The sequence below is a fragment of the Homo sapiens genome, chromosome 2 (genome assembly GCF_000001405.40).
Source record: "Homo sapiens chromosome 2, GRCh38.p14 Primary Assembly".
Taxonomy (NCBI): domain Eukaryota; kingdom Metazoa; phylum Chordata; class Mammalia; order Primates; family Hominidae; genus Homo; species Homo sapiens.
In genome coordinates this window covers 133561420-133588546 of record NC_000002.12, presented here as the reverse complement: position 1 = coordinate 133588546, position 27127 = coordinate 133561420, and the positions used below count along the sequence as shown (strand labels likewise).

At 42.3% G+C, this 27127-nt stretch overlaps 1 protein-coding gene across 14 annotated transcripts in view; it reads left to right on the top strand.

Annotated features, from left to right (window-relative positions):
• The window catches only part of NCKAP5 (NCK associated protein 5), a 1003049-nt gene that overhangs the window by 86290 nt on the left and 889632 nt on the right, over positions 1-27127 (top strand). For 6 of the 14 annotated variants that reach the window (XM_005263659.5, XM_017003979.3, NM_207481.4 and 3 more), the window contains exon 1: positions 20084-20331. The exons of 7 other annotated variants lie outside the window; for them this stretch is intronic. The gene's annotated coding sequence lies outside the window, so the exon portion shown is untranslated. Of the gene's footprint in view, positions 1-20083; positions 20332-20465; positions 20604-27127 lie in introns of those variants that run through there. One more of the 14 variants, XM_017003974.1, reaches the window with a different exon arrangement.

The following is a 27127-nucleotide window of genomic DNA, read 5'->3' as shown; positions in this document are numbered from 1 at the left end:
CTTTTGATAAATGGGAAAAGGAAATGAGGCAGGGAGGAGGGAAGGTAGGAAGAGAGGGAGGGAGGGAAGGAGGAAGGAAGGGAGGAAGGAAGGAATGAATTAGGGAAGGAATTAGGGAAGGAAGGAAGGGTGGGAGGGAGGGAGAGAGGGAAGAAGGAAGGGAAGGAGGGAAGAAAGGAAAGAGGGAAGGGAGGAAGGAAGGGAAGAAGGAGGGAAGGGAGGGGAGGAAGGGGGAGGGAGGGAGAGAAGACGAGAGGTAGGGAGAGAGGGAGGGAGGGAGGGAGGAAAAAGGAATCAAGAGTCCCCATTAAGCCAGAATCCAAGCACATCAGACCATAGGACTTTACATTAGAATAGTATTTCCAAAATTATTTTGATCATTGCCAACAAGAAATACATTTAACATTGTGACATAGTTGACTCACATGTGTATGTAAGTGTGTGTGTGTATACAGACATACACACACTTATGACATGGCATCAACTCTATTTTATTCTTTTTATTTATTTATTCCTTTTTATTCTATTTTAACAGTTTCTATTTTCTTTAACAAAATGCTGGGCTGGACTCATTAAACTGATTAAACCTCTGATGGGTCATAAATCCTGGTTTGAAAAACACTATACTAGAGAAACTGGAAAGTCTTGTCAGGCGATAAAAGTTAAAGTGAATTCACTGATCCACTCATTTGCGTGCTGTCCTGTGAATTAATGAAATCAAATCAAACTTCTTTCTTGGTTAAATATCAGCATTTTGTTACAGCAGGGAGGAAAGGGTAATTTTCTAGCATGCTGCCTTCAGAGAGAGAAACGTGGGCTGCATGCTTGTGGCAAGGCATGGGGAAGAGATGAGGAAGGAAGATGCCAAGTAAACCTCATCCTCATTGTGCAGGAACTTTGGTTAGGGCCAAACACTTTATTGATGTTGTCCACATTTCAGAAGCTTTCCTACTGGCTGGCTCTCTCTTGCTGCCCTGAGGACTTTTCTCAGTTTTCCCTTCAGGTGGAGACCATGTGCACAAAACATAAATACTTTTCTGTCATCTGCATCAATGCTTTTCCCAGAAAGATGCAATTCATTCCAGATTTTTCCATTCCGATGTCACCTCCCAAACTGGGTGTGTTGTACTCAGGTTGTCTTCCCAAAAGCAGGCTTGAGGCAGTTAAGTTGGCCACACAATGATTATTACCTGACACAACCTCTGTAAGTGCCAGGCATTGTTCTGAGCACTTCACAACAACCCTCTGAGAGGATGGTGCCACTGGTCTCCATTTTGCAGGCCTGAGGCTTGACTGAGGAACGATCTTGGTGGTGGAGCCAGCATTCCAGCCCTGGCAATCTGGCTCCCGGCCTCTCATGCTTACTCATTACTTGTTCTGAAAAATGTGATGACTGATATCATAGTGAAAATGGTGCCAGCCTTTTGCTTTATGAAGGGAAAAGGTGAGGACGTCAGGTAGCCTGCTAGATTAGGGCAGGGCACACCCCTCGCGTGAGTCCTTTACCTCGACTTTCTCTGAATTCAAGTTTTGCTAGGAGTATACTTAGTCAGGGCTAAAAGATAGACTGTCCAATTCAGAGATTCTGAACTGGCTGCAGACCTCTTTTATTTTGCCTGCTTAGTGTTCAAGAACTGTAGATCCAAATGCCTTTTGCTGGCCATGCCCTTTCCAGTTCATCGTAGTCCCCACCATTCTCTATTGCAGCCCCACCCTATTCCTCACTCACGCTACCTGCCTATCCTAAATCCTGTGTGTGTGTGTGTGTGTGTGTGTGTGTGTGTGTGTGTGTGTGATATTGCTGTCTTAAGATGGGATCAAGTGCCAATGATTGTACCCCAGATTTCTTGTGTCAACATAGCAACCATCTGCTCACACCACCACTTTGCTCACAAAGATTAAGAGAAGACAAATTGGACATGGACTAGCCAGCATCCTCCACACAGTGCTTCACATCTATGTGAAGATGCCTGAGTCACATTTGTTGGAGGAGAACCCATTGGTAGCACTGTCCTTGAGCGATGACCTGTTACCTCTTTTCCTGAAGTTGATACAATAATATGTGACCCAGTAATAAGTAAGAGTGATGGCTCAGAGAGGCAGCTGAGGCTATGGTAAATCACCCACAGCAAGCATTAGGTCTGAAGGTGAGTGAGTTCAAGGAGGTCAATCTCAACGTCAAGTACAGGGGGCTTCAGGAACTGGCCAGGAATCGGAAGCAGAAGGAAGGAAGGAAGTGACTGAGGGTTCAGGGTGGACATTATTGGGCCGCAGATCACGTGGACTTGTGTTGGCAGGCTGGACCCTCTGAGGGAGGTGCTTAGATACCTAGAGATCACTTGGCTTCAGTTGGTCATTAATACTTAAGTATTGAATGAGATTCTACTAAGAGTCTGAGTTCATTGTAACTGAATGAACTTTTACTATTGAAAACCCCAGCTCCTAATGAACTTTATGCTAAAGATGTTGAGAAGGAAACGCCAAATCTGCCCATTATCTCTAATATCTGTTCATACTTAATCCCAGACCCTTACAAAGGCCAATAGTGCTTGTTCTCACTTTTTCTTTTTTAATGATCAGCACCATGCCAAGATATTATTTTTGCCAAAACACATAAACTTGATGCCAGACTAAGAGATGGAAGGAGCTTGTGGAATCTCTTTCTCTAGAAATATTTCTGAATAGAAAAAATAAGAGCACAGACTTTGAGGTCCAACAGATCATTTGAATTCTGCCTTTGGTGCTTCCTACCTGTGAGTAGGGGTAGATAATTAACCCCTCTGAGTCTCAGTTTCCTCATTTGTAAAAGAGCATGAATAATGCATAGGACTGCTGTTATGAAAACTAGTAAATGAAATAACATATGTAAAGTGACTGACACATGTCTAATACATATTATACATTCAATAATTGTAATTTTATATCATTAACTTCTTGAAATATTTGGAAAAAATCTAATGGAAGTGGTGTATAATCCATGACAAAATGATATTTTGTGATGTTCATTTCAAGAGAATAGTAAACAAGAAGTAAAAGGCCTGACCTGCATTCCCGACTCAACCAAGATGTTTCAAACTACTTAAGCTATCAGAGGTAGTAGATAATAGAGTGTGCAAAGCACAGGCTTTGATTTGGACAAACATGGCCTTGATCTGTGTCATTAAGTGACTGTGTTTAAGTTGACAATCCAGCTAGTGTCTATGGATCCCCATTCCTTCACCTATAAAATGGAGATAATAGTTTTTTCCAGGTTTGATGTAATGAAACCTGTATGAAAAGTGTCCTAGGACATAGTTTGTATTTAATATTATTTCTTCCCATTTTAAAACTGCATTAAACATGTCTCCTAAACTGTTTGCAAATAACAAATTATTTTGCCCTCATTTTATCTTGATTTTGCTTTATTTTTACTGTATATATTTAAGTTGTAGAATGTTTTGATATACATAGTGAAATGATTACTATAGCCCAGAAAAATTAAAATTTGTCATCTCACAATTACCCTCTTTTTTCTTTACTTTCTTTTCTTTTCTTTTCTCTCTTTCTTTCCCTCCTTCCTTCCTTCCTTCCTTCCTTCCTTCCTTCCTTCCTTCCTTCCTTCCTTCTTTCTTTTTTTTGGCAAGAACAGCTAAAACCTACTCTCTTAGCAAAAATCCTGAATATAATACAGTTTTATTAACTATTGTCCTTATATTGTATATTAGCTCTCCAGGTTTTATCTGCTACTTTGTATTCTTTGACCTACATCCTCCCATTCCCTGCCTTAATTTTATTTTATTTTTTGAGACAGAGGCTCACTCTGTTTCCCAGACTGGAACACAGTGGCTCAATCTTGGCTCACCACAACCTCCACCTCTTGGGTTCAAGCAATTCTCCTGCCTCAGCCTCCCAAGTAGCTGGGATTACAGATGTATGCCACCATGCCCAGCTAATTTTTGTATATTTAGTAGAGATGGGTCTGACCATGTTGGCCAGGCTGGTCTCAAACTACTGACCTCAAGTGATCCACCCGCCTCAGCCTCCCAAAGAGCTAGGATTACAGGCATGAGCCACTGCACCTGGCCCTGCCCTCATTTTTTAAAAAAAAGTATTAAGAAGCAAGAAGAAGCCTCTTCCAGGTATCTATACAAATGTGCCCTGATTTGAAACCCTGCCTGGCCCTTTGTCAGTGGGGCTTCAGGCTAGGCACTGCCTCTCAGGATACATTACCTTTCAGTGTCAGAATTGACTGCCAAGGAGGGAGTCCAAACCTTGACTACATTTCCCCAACATCTGAAAAGTGCAGAGCTTTCTTAAGAGAATATTTTTTAGCAATAAATTTAGCTCATTTTATGTGTGTGTGTGCATGTGTGAGACTTCTAATTACCTGAACTATCCTAGGAATATGGAAACCACATCTCCTATTAAAAAACATTATTTTCCTCCATGTATAAAAGTAACATATTTATTATGGAAAATATATGAAAATAATTCTTAATCCATTTACCCACACAGGCTGGGTGCGGTGGCTCACGCCTGTAATCCCAGCACTTTGGGAGGCTGAGGTGGGTGGATCACGAGGTCAGGAGATCGAGACCATCCTGGCTAACACGGTGAAACCCCGTCTCTACTAAAAATACAAAACAATTAGCCAGGCATGGTGGTGGGTGCCTGTAGTCCCAGCTACTCGGGAGGCTGAGGCAGGAGAATGGCGTGAACCCAGGAGGCAGAGCTTGCAGTGAGCTGAGATCGCGCCACTACATTCCAGCCTGGGCGACAGAGCGAGACTCCACCTCAAAACAAGAAAAAAAAAAGGTTTATATCATGCCATTTTCATTTGACTTTATCTTACGACTACTATTTAATAACTTGTGCTAAAAAGTTGGCTTCTAAATGGCTATGTTATAGTTTATCTTATGGAAGAACTACAGTTTGTTTAACCTTGCCCATTTTATGTGAACTTTTACAAACTCCATGATAGAGAACTTCCTTATATATTGTATTAGGCTTGCATCGCTATAAAGGAGTATTGAGGCTGGGTAATTTATAAAGAAAAGACGTTTAATTGGCTTACAGCAGTGCAGGGCTTACAGGAATCCACGGTGCTGGCATCTGCTTCTGGAGAGGCCTCAGGAAGCTTCCAATCAAGGCAACAGGTGATGGGTAGCCAGCATATCCCATAGCAGGAGCAAGGATGAGGGGGAAGTGCCATGCTCTTTTAAACAACTAGATCTCATGTGAACTCACAGTGAGAACTCACCCACCACCAAGGGATGGGAGTTGCTAAGTCATTCATGAGGGATCCATGAATGACGGTCCATGAGGAGGTGAGGGATCCATGATATAGTCACCTCCCACCAGGCCCTACCTCCAACATTGGGAATCACATTTCAACATGACATTTGGAGGGGACAAACATCCACATCATATCATATATATATTTTTTTATCATCTCTGGTCTATTTATTTCCTTTTGATCAATTCCAAGAAGTATCATTACAAAATCAAATAATAGCCTAATTGCTTCCCAGAAAGGTTGTATCAGTTTACAACTCCTGTTAGAATTGAATAAAGATGCCTGGGTCAACATGACCTCAGAAACAGGGGGTATGACCACAAATGCTGTTCTGCAAAACAATTTTGTCAGTGAAAATTCTTATTAGTTGGCTGGAGACATCTTGAACAAAAAACAGTATATCCCTACCCTAACCTTCAATTTGGTCAAGGCTGAGTGAAGGCTTTAGAGAGAGTATTTGAGGTTCCAGATTTTATATCAGGTTGACTGGACCAGGAAACTGGAAATATGTTATTCACTATAACAAAGGGTGAAGCCAGAACTATCTTTATGTTGTCTTAATCGAAACGCTAATAGACAAGCTAGGTTTTTACCATCTGTAAAATGGGGACATTTATGTCTGCCCCTTGGAAACACTTTGATTAGAATTCATGATGAGTTGATGCATTTGGATGTCTGCCGAACTGCCCATACTACAGCAAAGCACTGATTACTACCGTGCATGTGTGTGTGAGGGGGTAAAATTGTATAGAAGCAGGGAATTAACTGATAGTAACACCCTTGAGGAGAGAATGGCAGCATGGATTAGATCTAGCTGAAGGAGGAGTGAATTACGCTGGAGTGATTATTCAGAGCATGCATGAAAAATTCTCCAGAGCAATCCTCACACTCCCCCAGTCTGATCATGTCTAGCCCGTTTCAGCCAGGACAGTTTTCAGCCTTTAGCATCCATCAGAATCACCTGGGGCACTTGTGGAACAATGTTGGGTCTCACCCACAGAGTCCCTGATGCAGTAGGTCTGGGGTTGGGCCTGAGAATTTGCATTTCTGATAGACTCCTGCATGGTGCTGGTGCTGCAGGTCTAGAGACCACACTTTAAAAACCACTGGTCTATAGAATCCCCTCACAGCAGTTTTACTATTGTGAAATTGAATTCCCACCTGCTATGAATGTGTGTTTTTATTCAGTAGGAGGCCATTGATATTTGTGTGTCTGCAACACTAAGCTTCACCACAAAGAGGTATTTTAATTTTTTTCTCCAGGACGTGGTGTCATATCTTTGGAAAATGTAAATACATTGAGTATACATCCTCTTGATCCATTTCTTCATCTGGTGTACACATGTAGTCAAATGTGTATTGCATGGGCATGCCTACTACTATTGAAAGAAAGGAATATTTCTAGCTAACGTTAGAAATGGCCCCTGCTTTTCAAAGCAGAGCTATCAAATTTAACAATACTTACAACGAAAAGTGAACTTTCAGCTCCATTTCAGACAGATGGAGGTTCTTATATTTCCAGGGGCATGTCTGTGATAACTGAAGGTTTGAGTTGTCTGAGAAAGAAAAAGGGACATTTCACAATTTTAGGGTGGGGAGTGCTCAGCCCATAGACACCTCACTGTGGTCAGTGAGCAGCAGCTGTGTTTGGTTCAGCCCCATTCCAGGGAAATGGGTCCAATCCAAACACATGATTGGGCCAGAAAGCAGGATTATTTAATCACCTGGAGGCCCAGCCCTGCCACTGCAGCTGTCAGAGGAACCTGTCACAGTTGGTTTGCCAAGGACTCAGGGCCAGATGCCTGCCCTGTGAAAATGCATTCCCAAACTGACACCTGGGGCTCAGGACAGCCATTGAGATTCCACCAAGAAGAACAGTGGGACTTAAATTAGCCAGCATGTTCTTCACTCTCCATAGGAAGAATCCCTTACAACAGGAAGTGGATGGGGATGAGGCACAGGTGTCCAATAAGATAACCATCTCTGGCCCTGTCTTACCAGCATAAAGCCTTTTGATGCTGTTCACCAGGAACTCAAATGCATCTGAGACATTTCCTTCCCAAGTTTACTTTTAAGATTTTTTTTAAACTCATATTGTAGAGTTGGAAACAGATGTCGTCATTCTATACAGATTTATTTTAGGAGCAATGGAGGATTAATTTGTGATGAGATCATTCTTTCAGACACAGAGTTCTGAAAAAACTGTTAGGGACTAAGGTAGATATCATTAAGTTCTTCCTTACTTAAGTCATATTAAAAAGATGAGCAAGAGGAAGGGAAAGAGGAAGGAGGTTGGAAGAAAAGGGAAGAAACAAGCTGTCACTTAGGGTTTCCAGAACTGATTGCAAGTAGCTGTTGAGTTTGGAGCTATTCATTTCCGAAACTCTCCTCCAAAGAGAGAGAGAGAAACTTTGTACTGAATATATATTCATAAGACATAATCTTACAAAATAATGAATGTCTTTGATGGTGTGATTTTGTATTTGGGATGGAAGCTTCACATGCAAAACCAAAGTCTGTCCACAAATGCACAAATGTTCTCTCTGAGGACCTGTGCACTGCGTCTTCTAGGGTACTCAGAGGTGATTAAAGCTTGTGGGGAAAATGCTTAATTTGTCTTGGGAATAAACCATGCTGATTTGTTCTAAGTGAGTACGAGGCTTCCCTGAACCCTTGAGAGGCAGCCTGAGTTAGACACCCATGATTTATACTATACCATAACTCCATTATGTTGGCTAAGGTAGAGGCAGACATCCCCCCAAATTATTAAAGCTGTCCATTTCTTCTTAGCACCCCACGGTGCAGAGAGTTTCCATGGTAAAAGAGAAAATAGCTATTTTCCCTTCTATGACCTTAGCCTGGGGTTCAATTTCCACAGCCATCTGAATAATACACAGAGCTCAGAGAAACCAGAGGTGCAGGAGTTTAGATCCTCCTTGACCAAAGACTTGAAGTATAAATAATTTGCAACATAGGATTTTTAAAAAATTTATTTATCTCTATCTTTTCTTCTATTTTCTCCTGCAGAGAGTCAGGAGGTAGAATGGGGCTTAAAAATTAATTTCCAAGAAGCCGTAGTGACCTGGATTATCCCAGCATAGCAGTAACTTCATGGATGAGTAAACAATTCCCGAAAGGAAGCTGGGAGACAGTGGCCTCCTGAGTATTGGGGAACAATCTATGGCTTACCCTGTACCTTTGGATTGATGTGCTAATGACGGGCCACTGGTTTGTCTAGCTTCTCTGCAGCACCACAGTTGAATAAAAGTAAAAGAAAACAATCATCTCTATTTTTTGTGTAGACATGTATGAAAGCCAAAAATATTTATGTATTCTTTATGAATCCTATTTGCTGGAAATTTAAGGAATTATGTTTGCAGAACTATAATGGGGAGAGAAAGGTACATATGTGATACCCAGAGGGACATTAAAATGGGGGGTTGAAATTGGGCCTGGGTATACCTCAGTTTAACACAGAGGATTTCCTTATTTAAGGAAAAAGGAATGTCATCGAAATATTGATGCAGCCTGTTGATGATGGAGGGCAGTGTTTATTGCCATGGGTTGGATGAGGATATGAATCTTACTGCTTGTTTCCCTTCCACTGAGTCAGTTTTATTTCCTATCTCTGTCAAAACCTGTCTGCATTCCTGCATCTAAATCCTTTATTCTATCCAGGGACACCTACTTATCTGCCTTCACATGCAGACCTATGCTGGCCAACCCTCAACTGGCCTCCTGCCCTGCAAAAGAAGGGTGGAGTCTGGGCCAGAATCCAGCCAGAAAATCAAAGTCTCTGCCAGAGAATCAAAGTCTCTGCTGTGATTCACTCTTCTCATGTTCCATTTTGACCTGACCCTTTGAGTTCTATGTGTCTCCAGATTCCTGATTGCTTGATTTCTCACTTACGGACAAACCTCCTTCTTTAGTTTCATTATAAGTCTATAGTCAGAGTACATACACTACATTAACATACAATTACAGTTTGGTGGAGACTTTAGAGACAGTTGCTAGAGTTTAAAACCCTAGCTCTGCCCACTCAGTAGCTGTGCAATTTTTAGCAAATTACTCAACCTGTATGTGCCTCAGTTTCCTTGTTGGAAAATAGGATAATGAAAGTACCTGACTCATATGATTATGGTGAAGATTAAATGAGTTAAGATATGTAAAGGGCTATGAAAGGTGTTTGGCATATCCTAAGTGCTATCCAAATGTTTATGACCATTACGGTTACTGTTATTATTACCTGGCCTTATATATCTTATTTAATTGTCTAAGCTGCTACTCTGCTCTGCTTTAAGTATGTGTTTCTTAAGAACAGATTATTTGTTGGGTTACCAGAGCTCATTGTGTGGCTCTCCAGATTTTAATTTCTTACCCTGAGTCAGTGTTCCAGTTATCTAAGAACAAACAGATTTTACTGTGGACTCTGGAGAAACCAAACTTCTCCTTTTGGTACTTAAAGTTCTTGAGGTCATGACGCAGACTGGGTTCTCTAGAAGCAGACACTGAAATGAGACTGCGTATTGATTGAATAAGGACATTGCTGTATATTGTTTCAGAAGAGACATCCATGGGAGGGAGGGGAAGAATTCAGGACTGAACATAGGAGACGTGCATTGGGGTCAGGCACGACAGAGCCACAGCCAATCCTGCAGGATACTGTGGAGTGAGTATGGCCCCTTGGAGTGACTGGAATCAGTCTGGGATTTCTTGGCGTTTATGCTCCTACATGGATCAGTAACTGGTTGTAGGCCACTTGGGGAAGAAGGGTCCTTGGGTGAGGCAAAGCCTGAGGGAGCTGGCAGCTGGAGGCTTCCTGCTCCCCGACAAGGGACCCATGCAGTGCATGTCTGCGTCTTCCCCAGGGTTAGTTCCAGGCTGAAAGATTGTACTTTCCCAGAAAGGCTCAACACGGCATCACTTTGTAAAGACTGCACAATTTGCCAAATGTCTTTTACAGGGATAGATGGGGGATAGATGGGGTCACTGCAAGGGTGCAAGGGAAGATGCTGAAGAAAGGGAGGGTGGCAAGACAAATGGAGATGAATGGAGCAGAGGTTTGTTACCATAGGAACTAGAGTCAACAAGATATAGAGGAAACCACACAGAATCTTTACATGGGAGGGACCATTAGAGGCAATTAGATGGTGTTAGGCAACTAGTATAGGAGCACATTGTTTCCTTTAGATTTTCTTTCTCTTATTTTTGAGATTTTGAGAAGTTGCTAATAGAAATTGTAGTAGGCTTAGGGTGACCAACCATTTTGCTTTGCCCAGATGGAAAGGACACTTGACTTTCAGTGCTGGAGCTGGGTCGTCTTAGGTGGTTTTCTATGAAGCCTTTTCTAAGCCACCTGGAAGGGTCACAAATGAAGCCATGGAATAATGAATGGGGAGAGGGTTTGGAAACCAAGAGCAGTTGTTTTTCCATCTGGTTAAGAGGACAGGGAGCAGAGACATTCTGGATGGTTCCTGCAGTACTTCACATATACTTGGCCGCTCATACATATAGATCAAAAGGAAATTGAACATGAGGGCAATGAATTAAAAGAGAACAGGAAGGGGAACATCACACACTGGGGACTGTTGTGGGGTGGGGGAAGTTGGGAGGGATAGCATTAGGAGATATACCTAATGCTAAATGACGAGTTAATGGGTGCAGCACACCAACATGGCACATGTGTACAATGTAACAAACCTGCACGTTGTGCACATGTACCCTAAAACTTAAAGTATAATAATAATAATTTAAAAATCCTATTAAAAAAAAGAAGAAAAAAAGAGAACAAACTGCTGAGAACAGGGAAATAATGGTAAAATAGGGAATATATCTAGGGAGCAAACCAGAGCTAAATGTGATAATGCTCCCAAACATTACAATGCTATAGGGGTCTTCCTGGAGTCCCTGTCTTCCAGGCCAGACCAGGTACTTTTGTATTCATGTGTATTACAGAACAACCCTGGGCCTTCATTCTACCCACAACCTCACCACATCAATTCTAGAATGTCCTTTCCTTCTTTTCTTCCTTCTCTCTCACCACAGGGGTGGTGCATTCTTCAGCAGTCCCTGGGGCCAAAGTTAGCAGGAAGCCCTGGGCATATCACCCACTGCCCCCTCCTAGGGTGAGATGAGTCTCTCCTGGGGACTGGACATAATTTGGTGTTGGTATGGAAGTTTGATGTTGGGGGTGGGAAGGTTCCCTGCTTCTGGGAATGCATTTCTATGAGTTGCCTTACCAGCCCAAGTCCAAATACCAGAGGCTTAGGTGGAAACTGGTCTCATCTCTGAGATGAAAGGAGAGCATGTTCCAATCACTCTGGTTTCCAAGTATGGAGTGTATTACAGGAAAGGCTCTGACAAGCTGATATGAATCACTAACCCTGCGACCTTTGGACTTTCTGACCTCATGTCAATCATAGTTCATGCTCTGTCAACAATTACATTTCCATTGATGAACTGGGTTTCCACTAATAACTGAATTCTCTGTATCCAAGAGATTAGTGTATCATGTTCAATTAGCTGCACTTTATTTTCAGATTGTCCTAACTTTTCCAGTTCTGTACAATCTTAGTTACCCCCTCTCACTCAGACAAACAGCGCCTATGCTTTGACTTTATTTTTTTATCAAAACAGAGGTGGAAATATTTCAATGTATTTTTCAATTGTGTCTCCCAATCAGTAGACACCCACAGAATGTTCTATAGGCATTCAGATTGCAAAATATACATAGAACCTGAAGTACTATATGTTTGCAGTGAGGATTTGTGGTATAAATTGTATACTGTTCCATATAATGTTTGGTGAATGACTCAGTGAATGAATAAGCACATTCAATAATAAATAACAAATTAATGATTTCAAAGATTAGTAGATTCATGTACCCTTCAAGCTTACCTGCCCTTTGTTACACAGTAATATATTATTTTCTGTGAACACCCCATGTATTTTTCACCACTATTAAGTGATGCTGATTGCCTCTAGGAGAGGAGGCAGATATGACAATCTTTATTAAACAAGTGGCTTGGAAGAGGAGTAGCTGAAGAAAAAAGAATGGGAAGAACAAAGAAAAGAATGGCAGCCAAGTTTCTGGACCTTAGGCCCTGGAGCCTTGCCTTCCCACTTCCTCATCACCCATTCAAGTCTGTAGCTGGAAGCCCAAGTTGCGTCAAATCTACCTATTTTGCCTTACCTTTTAGGCCTACTGTGACTTTCATCTCCTTTTCCAGTTGGAATAAACCTGTTTACACAGCTGTACATGGCTAGCACCATGCTAGCATGGAGGGAACTACTGAGGCATAGAAGAAGGTCTCTGCATCAAGGTGACCACAGTCTGGCTTGGAGTGAGAGTGGCCTACAAAAAGCAAATGTGAACATGCAAGTCCATGTTTATCGTTAAGAGATCAGATGGTTGCTATGGGTCAAAAGAGCTCAGGAGTCAATAAGGGATGAGCTGGACAGGGAAAGAAGAATGTACTTTAATTCAGTTCATCCAGCCCTGTCTGCAATTTCTCTGCCGATTTGGCCAGCAGCAGTAGGAGAGGGCTGGTAGGATGGGCTGTAGGACGTTACCCAGGGACATCACCCTCTGAGCTGTTTATGGAACCGAATGGAACCTAAGACTTCATTTCAAATGTATTCTATTGCTATTGTAACACTCAAAAGCCTCCTTACTATACTGTCTACACTCTTCTTATAAAATAAGAAGTGTTATCATTTTTATATTTATTCAGAAGGCACTGGCCGTAGAATTAAGCAATTTCAAAATATGGAATGCTTGAAAATGTGGAAGCTAGCAATAACTTCTCATGACCCTAACCGATAGGACTCATGTTCTTATAATCAGTCAAAATAATAAGTGGCAACTGATAAATTGAGTGGTTATTCTCCTTTGTTAATAGAAGGCTGTCATTTAAAATAATTTCCCAAATCCAGTAGATTTGTAGATTGAACAATGGTTATTGTACCTGGAAAAGGTTCAATGTGTTTCAAATCAATCACCCTGGATTTCTTTAAGGTGTAAAGTTTAAGCCAGCAGTGACAACAGAGCCAAGAGGCTCCTGCCTAATAGCCCAGGGTCAAGTCCCTTGGACTTTCCTGGCGTCTCAGGGGAAGTGCAGAGAATTCTAATACTGTGGTTTCTTGGACAAATGACCATTTCTCCAAACCACAGTGGGCTTTGCCTGAGTTTGGAGAAAGCACAGGCAATTTTTCCCGGGAGAAAGAGTAAACATGCGCTGTGGCTGCCTGGATGATGACCATTTTCTCTCTTTGTCAGGCCAAGGCAAGGGAGCAGTCCCCACGCTGGACATGGAAAAGCCTACAGCTGCATCTCAGCCTTGCTCACCCCTAGAGCCCTGGCCCTGTGCCTGGACAGGTGTTCTTTGCACCTGAGCTGGCAACTTTCCTCTGGCTGCCCCTACCCAATTTCTGCCATTTCTGTTGACTTTCCAGGGTTGTTGGGTTAGGAACAGACTGTTGGGTTAGGGCTGACTCACTCTTCCTCTGATCTGTAAGGATGCCTTTTCTGAAGGGCCCTTGAAGCATATTTGCCACAAAAATAAGCTGTTTCTGGAGCTTAAAATATCAGGTGATCAGAGCAAAGAATTTATATTATGTGTGTGCACATGTGCTTGTGTGTGTGCTTCCAAAAAAAAAAAAAAAAAAAGGAAAGAAGAAAATGCAACTCCAGCCCACTCCAGCAGACCCCTGAGCCACCTTCCTTGCCACCACTCCCATTTTTGTCGTTTTAACTAAAAAGCTTTCTCAACATGAAAGGAGGAACTCAGGGGCTGGCTGAGTAATCAGCCCAGGGCTCTGCTGGCCATCTGGGCAAATGCAGCAGGGCCACCAGAGCCTGAAGAGTCTGTTCCCTGGGGCCACCAAGGAAAAGCAGAGCATCCCTGCCTCTTCCCTGGGGCATCTTTGCATGTTATCTGCTGGGAGCTCCTCATCACATCCTAGCGTGGTCGTCTGGGACTATTATGATCTGGTGGGGTCAGGGGCTATTATGCGTCAAGCCTCAGTGTGTTTTAGGGACTACAGGGAACCCACTGTCAACACCATTCAGGGCAGGCGCTGATTACAATAAGCCAGGTTTCACACAGGGGAAAGTCAGTGGCTGTCCCCATCCTCTTCCTTTTCTTATCCTCTTCCATTTCTTAGTATTATCAACTGATTTTAATGGCCTCCCAGAATCAGGTGAAAATTGGACTCAGAGTCTATCTATTTAGACAATCGGGGCACACAAAATTCATTGCACTCTCAGTTTCCACACAGTCATATCCCCTGCCTCCTCCAGGCTCTGGTTTCAGGCAGACTCTGTTCGCAGGTTAAAAGGAATGCAACTTGCATCTTGTAGTTTAATGAATTTACATAAATCCTTAAAGTAGTATTGCTGGACCCCAGCTGGCAAACTGGACTTCAATTTTGTGCATTGGATTTGTGTAAAATCAAAGTCAGGAGAAGATTACGGCTCCCGACACCCGTTCCCTTTTCCCACCTCCTCTGTCTCAGCACTTTTTATTTGGGGCAAGCAAAGAAGTTAAAAATGTCAATCTCACAGTATGTACTGTCAACAACACAATGAGGAGGCTGAAATAAAATCCTCCAACTTCATGATGATACTTTATCCTTACATAGGGCCTTTCATGAAGAGCCTTCCAGTGCCTTAGTACATTAACCCTCACTGTGCCTCCCTGGGCTGGGCCTAGAACCTACGCTGGTGAAAAAGCAAAGGGATGGTGGGCTGACACCTCATTTCCATGGCAGGTTCCAGGTAGTTTCTCAAAATAGGGGAAACTTTACATCTCTCCCCTCACCTCCTCTCCCAGCAGATGTAGGCTGTATCAGCCCCCTCGCCAAAGGTCCTTGGGGTTGCAATACTGTCAACAACCAAACAGACAGATTACATGTGTGTTGAGGGGACCAGGAGGCAGCCCTCACTCCTCTCAGGAGGGAAAACAGCATTTGTAAGTTTGAAATTTGAAATATCATGAAATGCATCAAAGCAGTCATTATGGGAGTAATCTGAACTTTGTTGGAATTCCTTATGCTCACTTTATGGTTTAGTCTTGTTTTTGTTTGATTTATGTAAGAGGGCTACCATAACATCTGCAGTGATTAAAGCCTATAAATGTCTTTATCCCACTATGCGTTTGGGGCCCTCAATGTGGCACCTGTTTTGTCTTTTCTAAGTTTTACTTTGTACACCAACTTTGTGTCAGATATGATCTATTGTAAGTTATGGTTACCAAGAATTTTCTAATTGGTCACAGGGCTCCCTCCTAAAGAACCTGGACAAAACTACATGATCTTTATCAATGTCTGATTGTAGACTAGAAGGTCATCTGTTTGCTTCTCTTGTTATAACCAGTGCCTCTTAAAATATGGTCTGAGGACCATATGTGTGAGAATGACATGGGCCACGTTCTAAACACGAGGGTTCTCAAGGCCCCTTGAGACTCACACTCTCAACACCATGCCAGTTTGTTTGATGAATGCTGAGGTGTTCCTATGCTGCCCTTTCTAAAATTTCCTGTGCTTCCTATTCCTGACCATATTAACTCTTACAGAGCAGACTGGATGGCCTCAGGCTGTCTCTTAAGCCCTGGTAGAACAATTAGCTCCAGGAGAAGACACAGGTACTGCAGCAGACAATACTCATTACTAAAGGCTCAGTGCAAAGGGAAGCATGCAACAAATATACTGAATTCCCCCACCGCCGATATTTTCTCCATCCTGCAATTGAATCTTGCCCACCTCCAAGGGCATGGAGAATTTACTGCACAGTAATGCCCTAGGACTCAGCCCTGTGAGTGTGATTCCCATGGTCTTTGCACTTGTCTTTCATGCCTATGACTTATCTTCTCTTGGAAGAGCTAAGCAGAGGGGCTGGGTTACATAAAGGAGCAGAAGTCACATGGGTTTGCGGTTGACATCTGAAGCTCTGCTGAATGCCCACTGGCATATATTTGCATATAGGAATCAGACCCAGGAGTATTAATGGTGGTCACATGCTTCTTATTCCAAGTTACCACTGTTCATATTAGTTTACTAACTTCCTCTTCAATGTTTATCATCCTCAGAGGGATCCAGGGCTCCTTAGGACACTGGAGGGTCAGGCAGACCTGAGTTGAAATTCCGGATCTGCCACTGACTCTTTGTGTAATCACATTCAAATTAGTTCAGGAACATATCTCCCTGGGCCTCAGTTTCCTTGGTTGTGAAAGGTGAGTGAAGATAATAGTGTGTAACTCACTGGGTTTTGTTTTTGGTTCTGGGTTTTTTTTTTTTTGAGATGGAGTTTCACTCTTGTTGCCCAGGCTGGAATGCAATGGTGCGATCTTGGCTCACGGCAACCTCCGCCTCCTCACTGGGCTTTTTTAAGGGTAAATTAGATGATGCACTGAAAGCCAATGGCACATAGAAATGCTGAAGAAGGGGCAGTTGTTTATGAGAATGGGGGAGTGGCAGACTCAGACGCTGGAGGTAGAAACTGTGCCTGTGATCATGGTCCTTGTAGGTCCCTTGTAATACATGTCATCACCAGTAAGCAGCTCTAAGAGACCTTTTGGCTGTTTTTTACTCCATGCAGATCTGATTACCATCTCTGACTTCAGGAATTTTCCAATTTAAGACAGAAAACACTTATTAACATAATAAAATGACCAGCATAAGACATTTTTAAAAATGATCAGGTAAATAGCCATATATGTGCCTGTTACAGTGTCACCCAGCCGTCCTTCTCCCAGGCCTCAGGGAGAGAGGACATTACCTGAGCGCAGGACTAGCAGGCGGGCAGGAGGCGGGGAGACAACACTCAGCAGGTGGGGGGAGTTTTGGCAGCAGCATTCATAATCACCTAGTAGGTAGAGGTGGTGAGGATGGCCTTTCCCTCCCCTACCCCCACCCTCTTTTGTTTTTATGCTAAGTCGTAAGTCTAGCTAAATACTTGTATTTAACTCTCCCTCGGGAAGGTATGACCTGGATCACACCCAAGGGGCTCCAAAAGTGCATTAAACAGAATCTGGCCTCAGGTTCCTATAATATGTGGGCCATAAAAAAAATAAAAATATGCAGGAAACATGGGCTATGCTTTCCTTTTCTTGAAACGATTATAGACGTAAGATATCTTCTCACTATGAAGTAAGACAAGAATTGGATATGCTTTCTCTAGAGGAATAGAAATAGTGCTTTGAAAAGTCTATCCTATCTTGGTGGAAATTTTCAGTCATTCTTTTTCTTGGACTTTTTTTTCCCCCCTAAAGAAAAACATAGGCTCTAATGTATGGCTTATGCCTTCGAGTTTCTACTATAAAGGCCTGGTAGGCAGTATAGCAGGTAGGCAGGGCTGGGTTTTGTGCCATCACTCCCGGCCACTGAAAAAAGGCAAAGTCCCTTCTTAATAAAGCTCTGCAGACTCATTGTGGGTTAGAGCTTTCTAAGCTCTCCCTGGAGATTTCCTTAATGTTAGACTAGCCATGACAAGGAGCTGGTCACACCTGTGCCCCTACAAGCTTTCTGACTTGTCGCTCCGGTGCTTGCTAGCAGCCAGGAAAATGAACCGAAGCGGCTCACACTTGTCTTACCTTAAAACTTCATTTGTCAAACAGGATTGCACAAGGAAAAGGTCAGCACTTTATGTTCTGAGCACTGAACTTTAATCATTTCTGAAGGTGGACAGAGTCTAAGAGGTCTTTAAATCAGTCCTCAAATATAAGGGGAAAGGGGTGGGTCCTTGGATCAGAAATGAAAACTAGTGCTTGTGTCTTCCTCTTCTCAACCCTATTCCACTCCCACATACCATTGCATCCTGGGAGAAACTTCATCAACATTCATTCAATCAATACCTCTTTCTTGAGCACCTACTATAGGTCAGACATTTAGTGAAGAAATAGCAATTTTTCTTTTTGAGGCTTATTTTGAAAATGTACCACCAAGTCTTTTTATTATTATTTCTAATAACAAAAATGAAACATGATCATTGAAAAAAAGTCAAACCACACACAAAGCATACAAATGTGAAAGTTCTTTCCACCTTTTTTCCCGAGGGTAACCACTGTTAATCATTTATATAATTCCTCTCATCATATGCAAAGTTCTTTTTCGTGTTCAATATGCCACCTTCTACGCTGCACCTTGCTTTATCCACTCAGTAAGCAACAACCTACTTCTGTCCACATCAGTATATTCACAGTTACCTCCATTTTTGTTTTCTTGTATTGATGAATATTAGTCTCCCTTTTATTGGCTTACAAATAATGCTGCAAAGAACTTGTGCTTATATCTTTGTGCTCTTTTGTGAGTGTATTTGTGGGATCACTATGGAAAAGTGGAATTGCTGGGTCTAAGGGTCTGTACTTGTAAAATCTTTAGGTACATCTAATTTACTTTCTCTTAACATGGGGCTCATTGAAGACCCATCAGTGACATACACAATTTGTGTTGTCTTTAACTATTTCCCACATGAAAGTAGCATATATTGGGGTCTTGGGACCCTACCAAATCAATAACCAATTGCTACTCTTTGAGGAAATAATTTTCAGACATGCAATGAGCATCTGCTGGGGGTAGTGAGATGTGAGGTCATTGTTTTCCAAGGCCAGGGAGAGAGCTTAATCTAAACATACACTCCATGCCACAGAATCAGCTAACCTTGTTCCTGCCTCCACCCTCAATGCTCACCCCCCACCTCCCACATTTCTGTTTAGGATTCACTATGGCAAGTGATTTAGGTATAAACAAATAACACTTACAAGGCAGCCCTCAAAGACCTTTCAAACTGAGTTGGGGAGACAGAACACAGATGGCTAAAAAACAAACTAAAAATACTAGTCAGTATATAAAAAGCAGCAAGTAAATATAAATAGTAAGCATCGTTATAGCAGTCCAGAGGAAGGAAGGAAAACAGTGGGCTGGAGTGTTCGCGCTTCGTGGCAGAGACTAGGTGTTGGATCTGTGGAATTTCTCTAGGTGGGGGCTAGGGGTTGGAGGGGAGATAACTGTAAAAACTATAAGAACCAACGGACAGAAGAGAGATTCCATGAGAGAGTGGAAAATAGGGGAGAAAAGGCCCACTTTTATTTTGATAGTTGTGAGTGGGATTTACAGTGTTCTGTGAGATTATTAGAAAGACTTGGCACAGATTCTTATTTATTTGTTTTTTGGAGTGTCGGGGGTGGTGCAGGTGGGTGGTTAAAATTTTAAGAATCAGAAGAAAGCCTCCAGCACTCTTCTCAGGAAAAGAAAAATTGCATATTTGCAAATGCACACAAAATGTTGCTGTGATTTCAAGGATCCCTTCCTTCTACTCCAAGCTGAGACACTAGAATGTATCTAAAAGGAGTTGCACCCAAGACAATCTATCTAGGAAAAATGTCGGCCAGGTGTATATATCACAGTAAAAGTAATTAAGCAATGTAAGACACAACCAGTATTCATATATTCATGAATCATCAGGCTCTGAAGTTGACTCGAAACAGGTGGGTAAACAATTTGGTAGGGCTGTGCTGGCACTTCAAACTTTTCCTCCAGGTCTCCAGCTATTCCAGTGTAAGCTGGTGGAGGCGATTCTCTGTCTTTTTCAGACCTGAAAGAAGCCATCCTCTCAAAAATGTGAATCAATGGGATTATTTACGCATGTATAACTGGAATCCACTCCAAGATGCCGATTTTGCTGCAGAAGAGATACTCTTCCTCCCCACCCCCTCCTTTCTTTTTGACAGTCAGTTAATAAAGACTCAACAATAAGCAGCTGCCAGTGATGTCATTTGGGACTTTGTCCACGGAGCTTGTATTTACAAGCTCGAAGCAACTACGGAGCCGCAGCCCAGGGAGCAAGTCTCCGCAAACTTGCTCCGCATTCACGGCAGGACTTCCCAGCCGCTGTGGATGTTCAGGAAAACCGAGTCTGTTCTGTTAGCGTGGCCTTTGAATGCTTCAAAAATAAACAGAGGATAACCAACCGCGGGAGGAAATTTTTAGCTGGAGAGAGTTGTAGTTCCTGTGTCTGTCTCCAGGACTGTGATATGTGTTGACTGAAGAGCTAACTACAAGTAAGACTGTTGGGATTTTTTTTTTAAACTCTTGTAACAGTTTTTCTTATTTATACAGCTTGTTTTCCTTCTAAAGTGAGATGATGATGTTTACATATTTCTCCAGGCTCTTTCGGCTGTCACAGCAAGTATGCGTTTGTTCTAAGTAACTATAGGGCCCTAAAGTGGACTGGAATTAGGGGTAGAGGACCCCTTGTCTCTGAGAACAAATACCAGGATGCAGATGATAAGGAGATACTGAATGGCTAATCCTCATTTGCCTCTGCAGGGAGGTCAGGTTTGGTTTTTCATTTGTTTTGTTTTTGTTTTTTAAAGAGATACAACCAACCAAAAAACTATTAGGCTGATCTAGAAAGTTTAGCAGACAACTATGAAGGCTACTTTTTCATGAACTGGTACACTGCAGGGAGAACCCACTTTTTGTCTCTGATTCTTTCTGTGGTTTATGGATTTCTAGTGTGTGGATGTTGATGTTTATGGTCTCTCGTCCCCTCCTACCTACACTCTCTCCCCAAACACACACACACACACACACACACACACACACACACACACACAGGCTCATTCATCCTCAGGAATGTGTATGTATCAAAAAATATTTTGAAATTGAAACTGTTTCTATTTGGATTCTTTTCACATTGAGTATCTGGAGAAATGTTCAATGTTCTGACTTGTCTTCTGAGTTGGAACCCAAGTTAATGTACTACTGAAAAAGGCAAACTTTGACACTGAGCTAGATCGGTATACAAAATCCACATGTTCTCTTTTGCCTGCCTCAGGGCTCTTTAAAACTCTCCAGATATTCTCTGGGATTTAAATAGGAAGAGTGAGCTTCATGTATGCCGCCAGCCTGGACAGGAACCTCTTATCCCACCTGCACCGGCTGGCCCGTGAGCTATTCTCTGTTGCCACCCGGGAGTTCTGCTTAAGAGCCCAGTGAAAAATTGTCTTTCTGTCCTTCAAGCTACCAGCTCTGCTCCTCAGTGCCTGCAGTTCAGCCTCTTGCAACCAGTAGCAAATCCCAGCTGATTCCTGCCCTCTAGACCTGACAGCCCAGCCCGCTGCACGGATTGGCAAGAAGTGGCTGTTAGCCTGTTAGCTCCGCATGTGAACCCCATGACTCACTCAGGAGCCTGGCTTGCTCCTGAATTCAGCTGCTCTGTCACCAGCCCAGAAACATGGTGACAGCCTTCACTACCTTTTCCTTGTCTCTAGTCTCAGAATTGTGAGAAGCCAGTGTCAAAAGGCCTCAAAATATTTGACTGTTTTCCAGGGAGTCCTAAGGTGGGTAACATCCTGCCTCTTTGTCAGCTCCATTTTTTTCCATCAGAACACATTAGGCTTAGATATGTTTTGTGTATTAGAGCTCAGTGCTCTTTGCAATTCTTTGCTTAAAATAAGGGACTTGCTGCTAAAACAGATTTCAAACTATTCATCAAAGTTTATCCTTTCACAGAAGAAAACTTGGGGCACAAGGAAGAGAAGTGATTGTCCAAGAGCACCCAGTAAGATGGTGGCAAAGCTACAACTAGAAACTGAGCTTCCTGTGTTCATTCCAGCATGTGTCCCACTTCTCAAGTTCTTAAATATTGAAAAAGAAATGGGACCCACACGCGGTTCCTATGCCTTCTTGTAGGAACAGGGCTATGTGCAGGTGTACAGATGAAGGTGGTCTGGCAAAGAGAGAACATTCCCGTTTTGTCTTTGGCTCTCGTTACATTTCTTAAGGTGTCTGTTCCTCATTGTTTTCACTAGCAAACCAAAGAGAACTCTGTGATTATTTTACAGATAATGGCCTAAAAGCAAATGGAGCAGCCTCAGCAGTTGAAATAGTTCAGAAGGCATTTTGCACTGGGTACAGGCTGGGATACCTGAGGTGATTCCCAACTCTGATACTCAGTGTTTGTGCTTTACTTCCAAGTCTCAGACTTCTTCTTATGGCCACAGCTTGCTTTGCTTTTCCTCTTTTGGGCCCCTCTCTCCAGTGGAACCTTCTCTTCACTTTTTCATTGATTCCTCCTTCCCACTTCATTCTCTCACTGAAGCCTGGACCTCAGTTTCCAGTATTCAGCTAGATCGCATACACCCGTCCATTACCCTTCTCTCTGGAGCCTTCCTTGTCCCTGACATTCCTACCTAGGGGCGGGGGGCCTTCCTGGACTCTCCTGGTCCAAGTGGTGATTCACTTGTTTCGACTGTCATGGTATCTTGTGCCATTTTTTGCCCTGGGATCTGGAGCTCTTTGCCATGTTGTTAAATACCTCTTTCCGTCGAAAGCAAGGGCTGCTTGCTATATAATACTTCTTATAGCTACAGCACTAAGCACAGAGTAGTTATTCAATGTATTATGCTAAATAAATGAATGAATTAAATATCCATTTTCCTGTTGCAAACACCCAAGCCTCAGGACTTGGTTGGCAAAATTACCACATTACTGTGCTGATTGGCTTTAAATTCTTCTTCACTGTGGTTGAAGGCCCTTGATGCCAGACTTCTGACCATGAAGACGGGGATATTCTTGATGTGATGCCTGGCTGTCTTTCCTGGCTCATTTCACTCTACTCCACAGTGTGGACTTAGAGCTGTCTTGGGGATTCTGGGCCTGATGGCTAATCAGGGTCTTCACTATGCAGCACAGCACAGTGACTGAAAACTTGGACTCTGGAACTGGCCTGCCCAGGCTCAAGTCCTGCTTCTGCCACTTGCCGGCTTTATGATCCTGGTTAATTCACTTAACTTTTCTATTTCAATTTCTCTTCTTTAAAATGTGGATAATGAGAGTGCCTCCTTCATGGGAAGATGGAGAAGGATTAGATATCTTAATGTAGCTAAAACAATAGGCACAATGCTAGGCATACATTAAGTGCTAATGAGTATTAGCTACAGTTATTATTTATCTTGCTGATGCCCACGTCCCACCCCAGACTTACTGAATCATGACCTCTAAGGTGGGATTCAGATCCAGCCATGGTTAAAAAGTTCCTCAGATGATTTCGATGGGAATTACTGGCCTAGCTACCAGGAGCTGCTCTCTATTACTGAAATATGCTGGGCTTGTATGTTCTTCAGCACATCTGCACCTTTGTACTCCTGCAGCACCTCTCCACACACTCAGTTTATCCTCCATATCTTGCATGCACCTCCTGTCCTGTGAGCAGCTTTTCACATCCCAGTCACCGCAGGTAGGTGTCCCTGTGCACCATGGAACTCCGTCCGCATTGGTTCACTGTGCTTCTGTTCCCCTCTTCAGCCTCTGTGTCTCACGAGGGCACACCTGCCAACTGACTCCCCAAACTTAGCACCATGCATGACACTGCCCTTAGGGAATTACTTGTTGAGTAGACGGATGAATACTGCTCACTGAATGCCTTCATTTCCACTTGACTCCTGCCCTGTGCCTACCCCTTTCCCACGGTGGCACCTGTGAGCCTTGCTTCACTCTTGAGTCCCAGCTTTGCCTGTGCTCCTCCCTCAGGTGGTGTCTCCCTCCCTACTTAAGAGAGAAGACTGCGGTCCTGCATTCTGAAATCCTTCCACGTTCCTTGGCTTCATCTGACAACGTTCCCTGCTCTGTCTCCCCTCTTACTTCTCTCAGATGAAGAAACAGTCACACCCCATGGTATTCTATCTAAACTCTGTTGGGATGCTTACACTGCATAGCCCCATTTTAAAAGTATTTCTTTACCTTCCGCTGCTGCCACTAGATTCTAGTGAATTTGAGATAGAGTCGTTGCCAAATTTGAGTTGTCAAATTTGTAATCTTAAGTGTAGTTTGTAAACTCAGCACCTGGCACACAATGAGTTCTCAATAAATGAAAAAAATGTATGGATACATGGTTGATGGGCACAATAAAAACAGATTTAAAATGTTTTCTTCCAACATCAATCACTATTGAGTGGTTACTGTATACCAGGCACACTTTCAAGCTCTGTGCTCATGCTATCTTATTATGATCATTGTATTCATTGTCCAAGCAAAAATACTGATGCTCAGAAAGGTTAAGTAATGTGCACAAGTCACATGGGTGGATAAGAGGCAGAGGCAGGATTTGAACCCACAGCACGTACTTTTTTTTTTTTTGAAATGGAGTTTCACTCTTGTTGCCTAGGCTGGAGTGCAATGGCACGATCTCCACTCACTGCAACCTCCGCCTCTCAGGTTCAAGTGATTCTCCTGCTTCAGCCTCCTGGTTAGCTGTGATTACAGGTGCCTGCCACCACACCCAGATAATTTTTGTATTTTTAGTAGAGATAGGGTTTCACCATGTTAGCCGGGCTGGTCTCAAACTCCTGACCTCAAATGATCCATCTGCCTCAGCCTCCCAAAGTGCTGGGATTACAGGTATGAGACACTGCACTCAACCCCACAGTGCATACTCTTAACCTTTCATTTTACCGCTTTCTGGATATGGAGGCTTCATGAGCCTCACATTCACCCACAATGACGTTTTGGTCATTCACATCTGCCCCGATTGACTGCACTGGCAGAGCAGTATAGCAGATTAATACTTCCACCCATTCAAACTGGCAATTCACATTTTCTAGTCTTTCCAAAGTGTCTAACGCCTATGCGCAGTCCTTTACTATTTTTATTTTTCCTTTAATCTCAGAGATCTGAATCTTTTTTTTTTTTTTTTTTTTTTTTTTTTTTATGGAGTCTTTCTCTGTCACCAGGCTGGAGTGCAGTGGCATGATCTCGACTCACTGCAACCTCTGACTCCCTGGTTCAAGCTATTCTCCTGCCTCAGCCTCCCAAGTAGCTGGGATTACAGGCATGTGCCACCACACCCAGCTAATTTTTGTATTTTTAGTAGAGACAGGGTTTCACCATGTTGGCCAGGATGGTCTCAATAGCCTGACCTCGTGATCTGCCCACTTCGGTCACCCAAAGTGCTGGGGTTACAGGCGTGAGCCACTGCGCCCGGCCAGACCTGAATCTTTTTGTAGAGTAGCCCAAGTTTATGGTTAAACATCAAGATTATTTACATTCTTGGTGTGGGTTTTGGTAGGCCTAGTAAAGTTTGGTCAAGAGTGTAATCCAGGGATTAGATACAAAGAAAAAATTGGAAATAATGTTTGGCCATTTGGTTGGTCCCTGAAAATGGTAACCTAAGGAAATGGTAGCATTTTGTGAAAGTGGATTTAAATAGCCAGAAGGGTTTAGTCTGAACACTCTGGCAAGTCATGGACCCAGTTAAGCACAAAGTACCTTATAGCCTTCTTTTTCTCCAGTTCTCTAACTCTACAGGGTTTAATGCCTTTGGAATTTTGGATTCCCAATTGTCCTTCCTTTATAGATGAAATAATAAATCTCTCAGATACATAGAACATTACCCACACATTTACAATGCCCCAATACATACTTGCCTAATGAAGTGTATCGTGTCAGTTTGGAAGCCTCAATTACACAGGGTACTTCCCCGTAGTTACATAAATTAATCTTGGTATTTTCAGGGCAAGAAACCAGATCTCTCCTTTTAGAAATCAACTTTACCGGATTAGTGATTCCTTTGAGGAGAATTTGGATGCATTGTAGAAGCCCAGTGGACTGAGTTCAAGAGGAAAGAGGAGAGTCCCAAGCCCATTTTGGAGCATACACTGGGAATAATAACATGGCAGATAAATATTACGGTGTTGAAAGAAGAGCTGTTAGTTCTGAAATGTGGGAACAAGTGTTACTGTCGAGACGCATGTCTGACAAACCGCTCCATAAAGGCAACTTGCTTCATTTGGCAAATTGAATCTAGAAACATAGAACTGATCCAGGCCAGCCCAAAAGGCATTTCTCAAATGGTTTCCATTGTCAGTGCTAACTGGTTTTGTAGCAACTTAAAAAGTCAAAGTAATACATGCTCATAAATCAGAAAATCCAACAATAGTAAATTGTTTATATATCTATGTATATATATGAATATTAGTACTAAACAATAGCTCTAACATGCTCATATATATAAACATTGAGTATGTGTTTCTCTATATGTGTATATATATATGTGTGTGTATATTTATATAAAATCTTACAGTCTCTTGGGCCACCCTCTCTACCCCATTTCTGAGTTTTTTTTTTCTTCAGCTGTTTTTATGTAATATTCCTAAATCATATGTTTCTGTGTGTATGTCAAAGTACTACTTCTTTATTATTATGGTAGATTATAATATATCTTTTTGTACCTCCCAGAGCATCCCTATTCTTCAATATAATTATATCGCAGTTTTAATTACATGCATAGTGCTTATTTTTGTTTTGATTACAAATATTGTTTACGTTGAGTCAAATCACTATGATCACATCTTTATGTTAACATTTTTTCCTAAAGTTATTGCCTCATTTTTAATATTTACTTAGTTTTCTAAGACCCTATAGCTGAAGTTTCCCAGTTGCTCCAACAGCCCGTTGACATATATGTCAAATATAATCTCCTTTTAAAACATTCATCTTCTGTGAGTAGTTATATTCTCAAGTCACCATGTTCTTTTTTTGTCAGTTGCCAAGGAGGATAAGTTAATAATTAGTTGTGCCATATCAGCAACAATTTTAAATGCCTGCCTCCAATGTTTCTTTTATTCTCATTACAGCCAGTTACTCATATTTGGGTAAATAGAAACGATCTGGTTTATTGTAGTTGGTAAATAGCAATCATAACTTGGTTTTATAGTCTCATGAATACTCAATACATTTCAGTGTAAGAAATATCCTTCCTTTCTGAGTACCTTTGACATGTAGTATAGCTTCATCAGAGGAAAGCAAATGATACCTCATGTAATGTTATTTTATGAACCACTAAATGAATGCTCA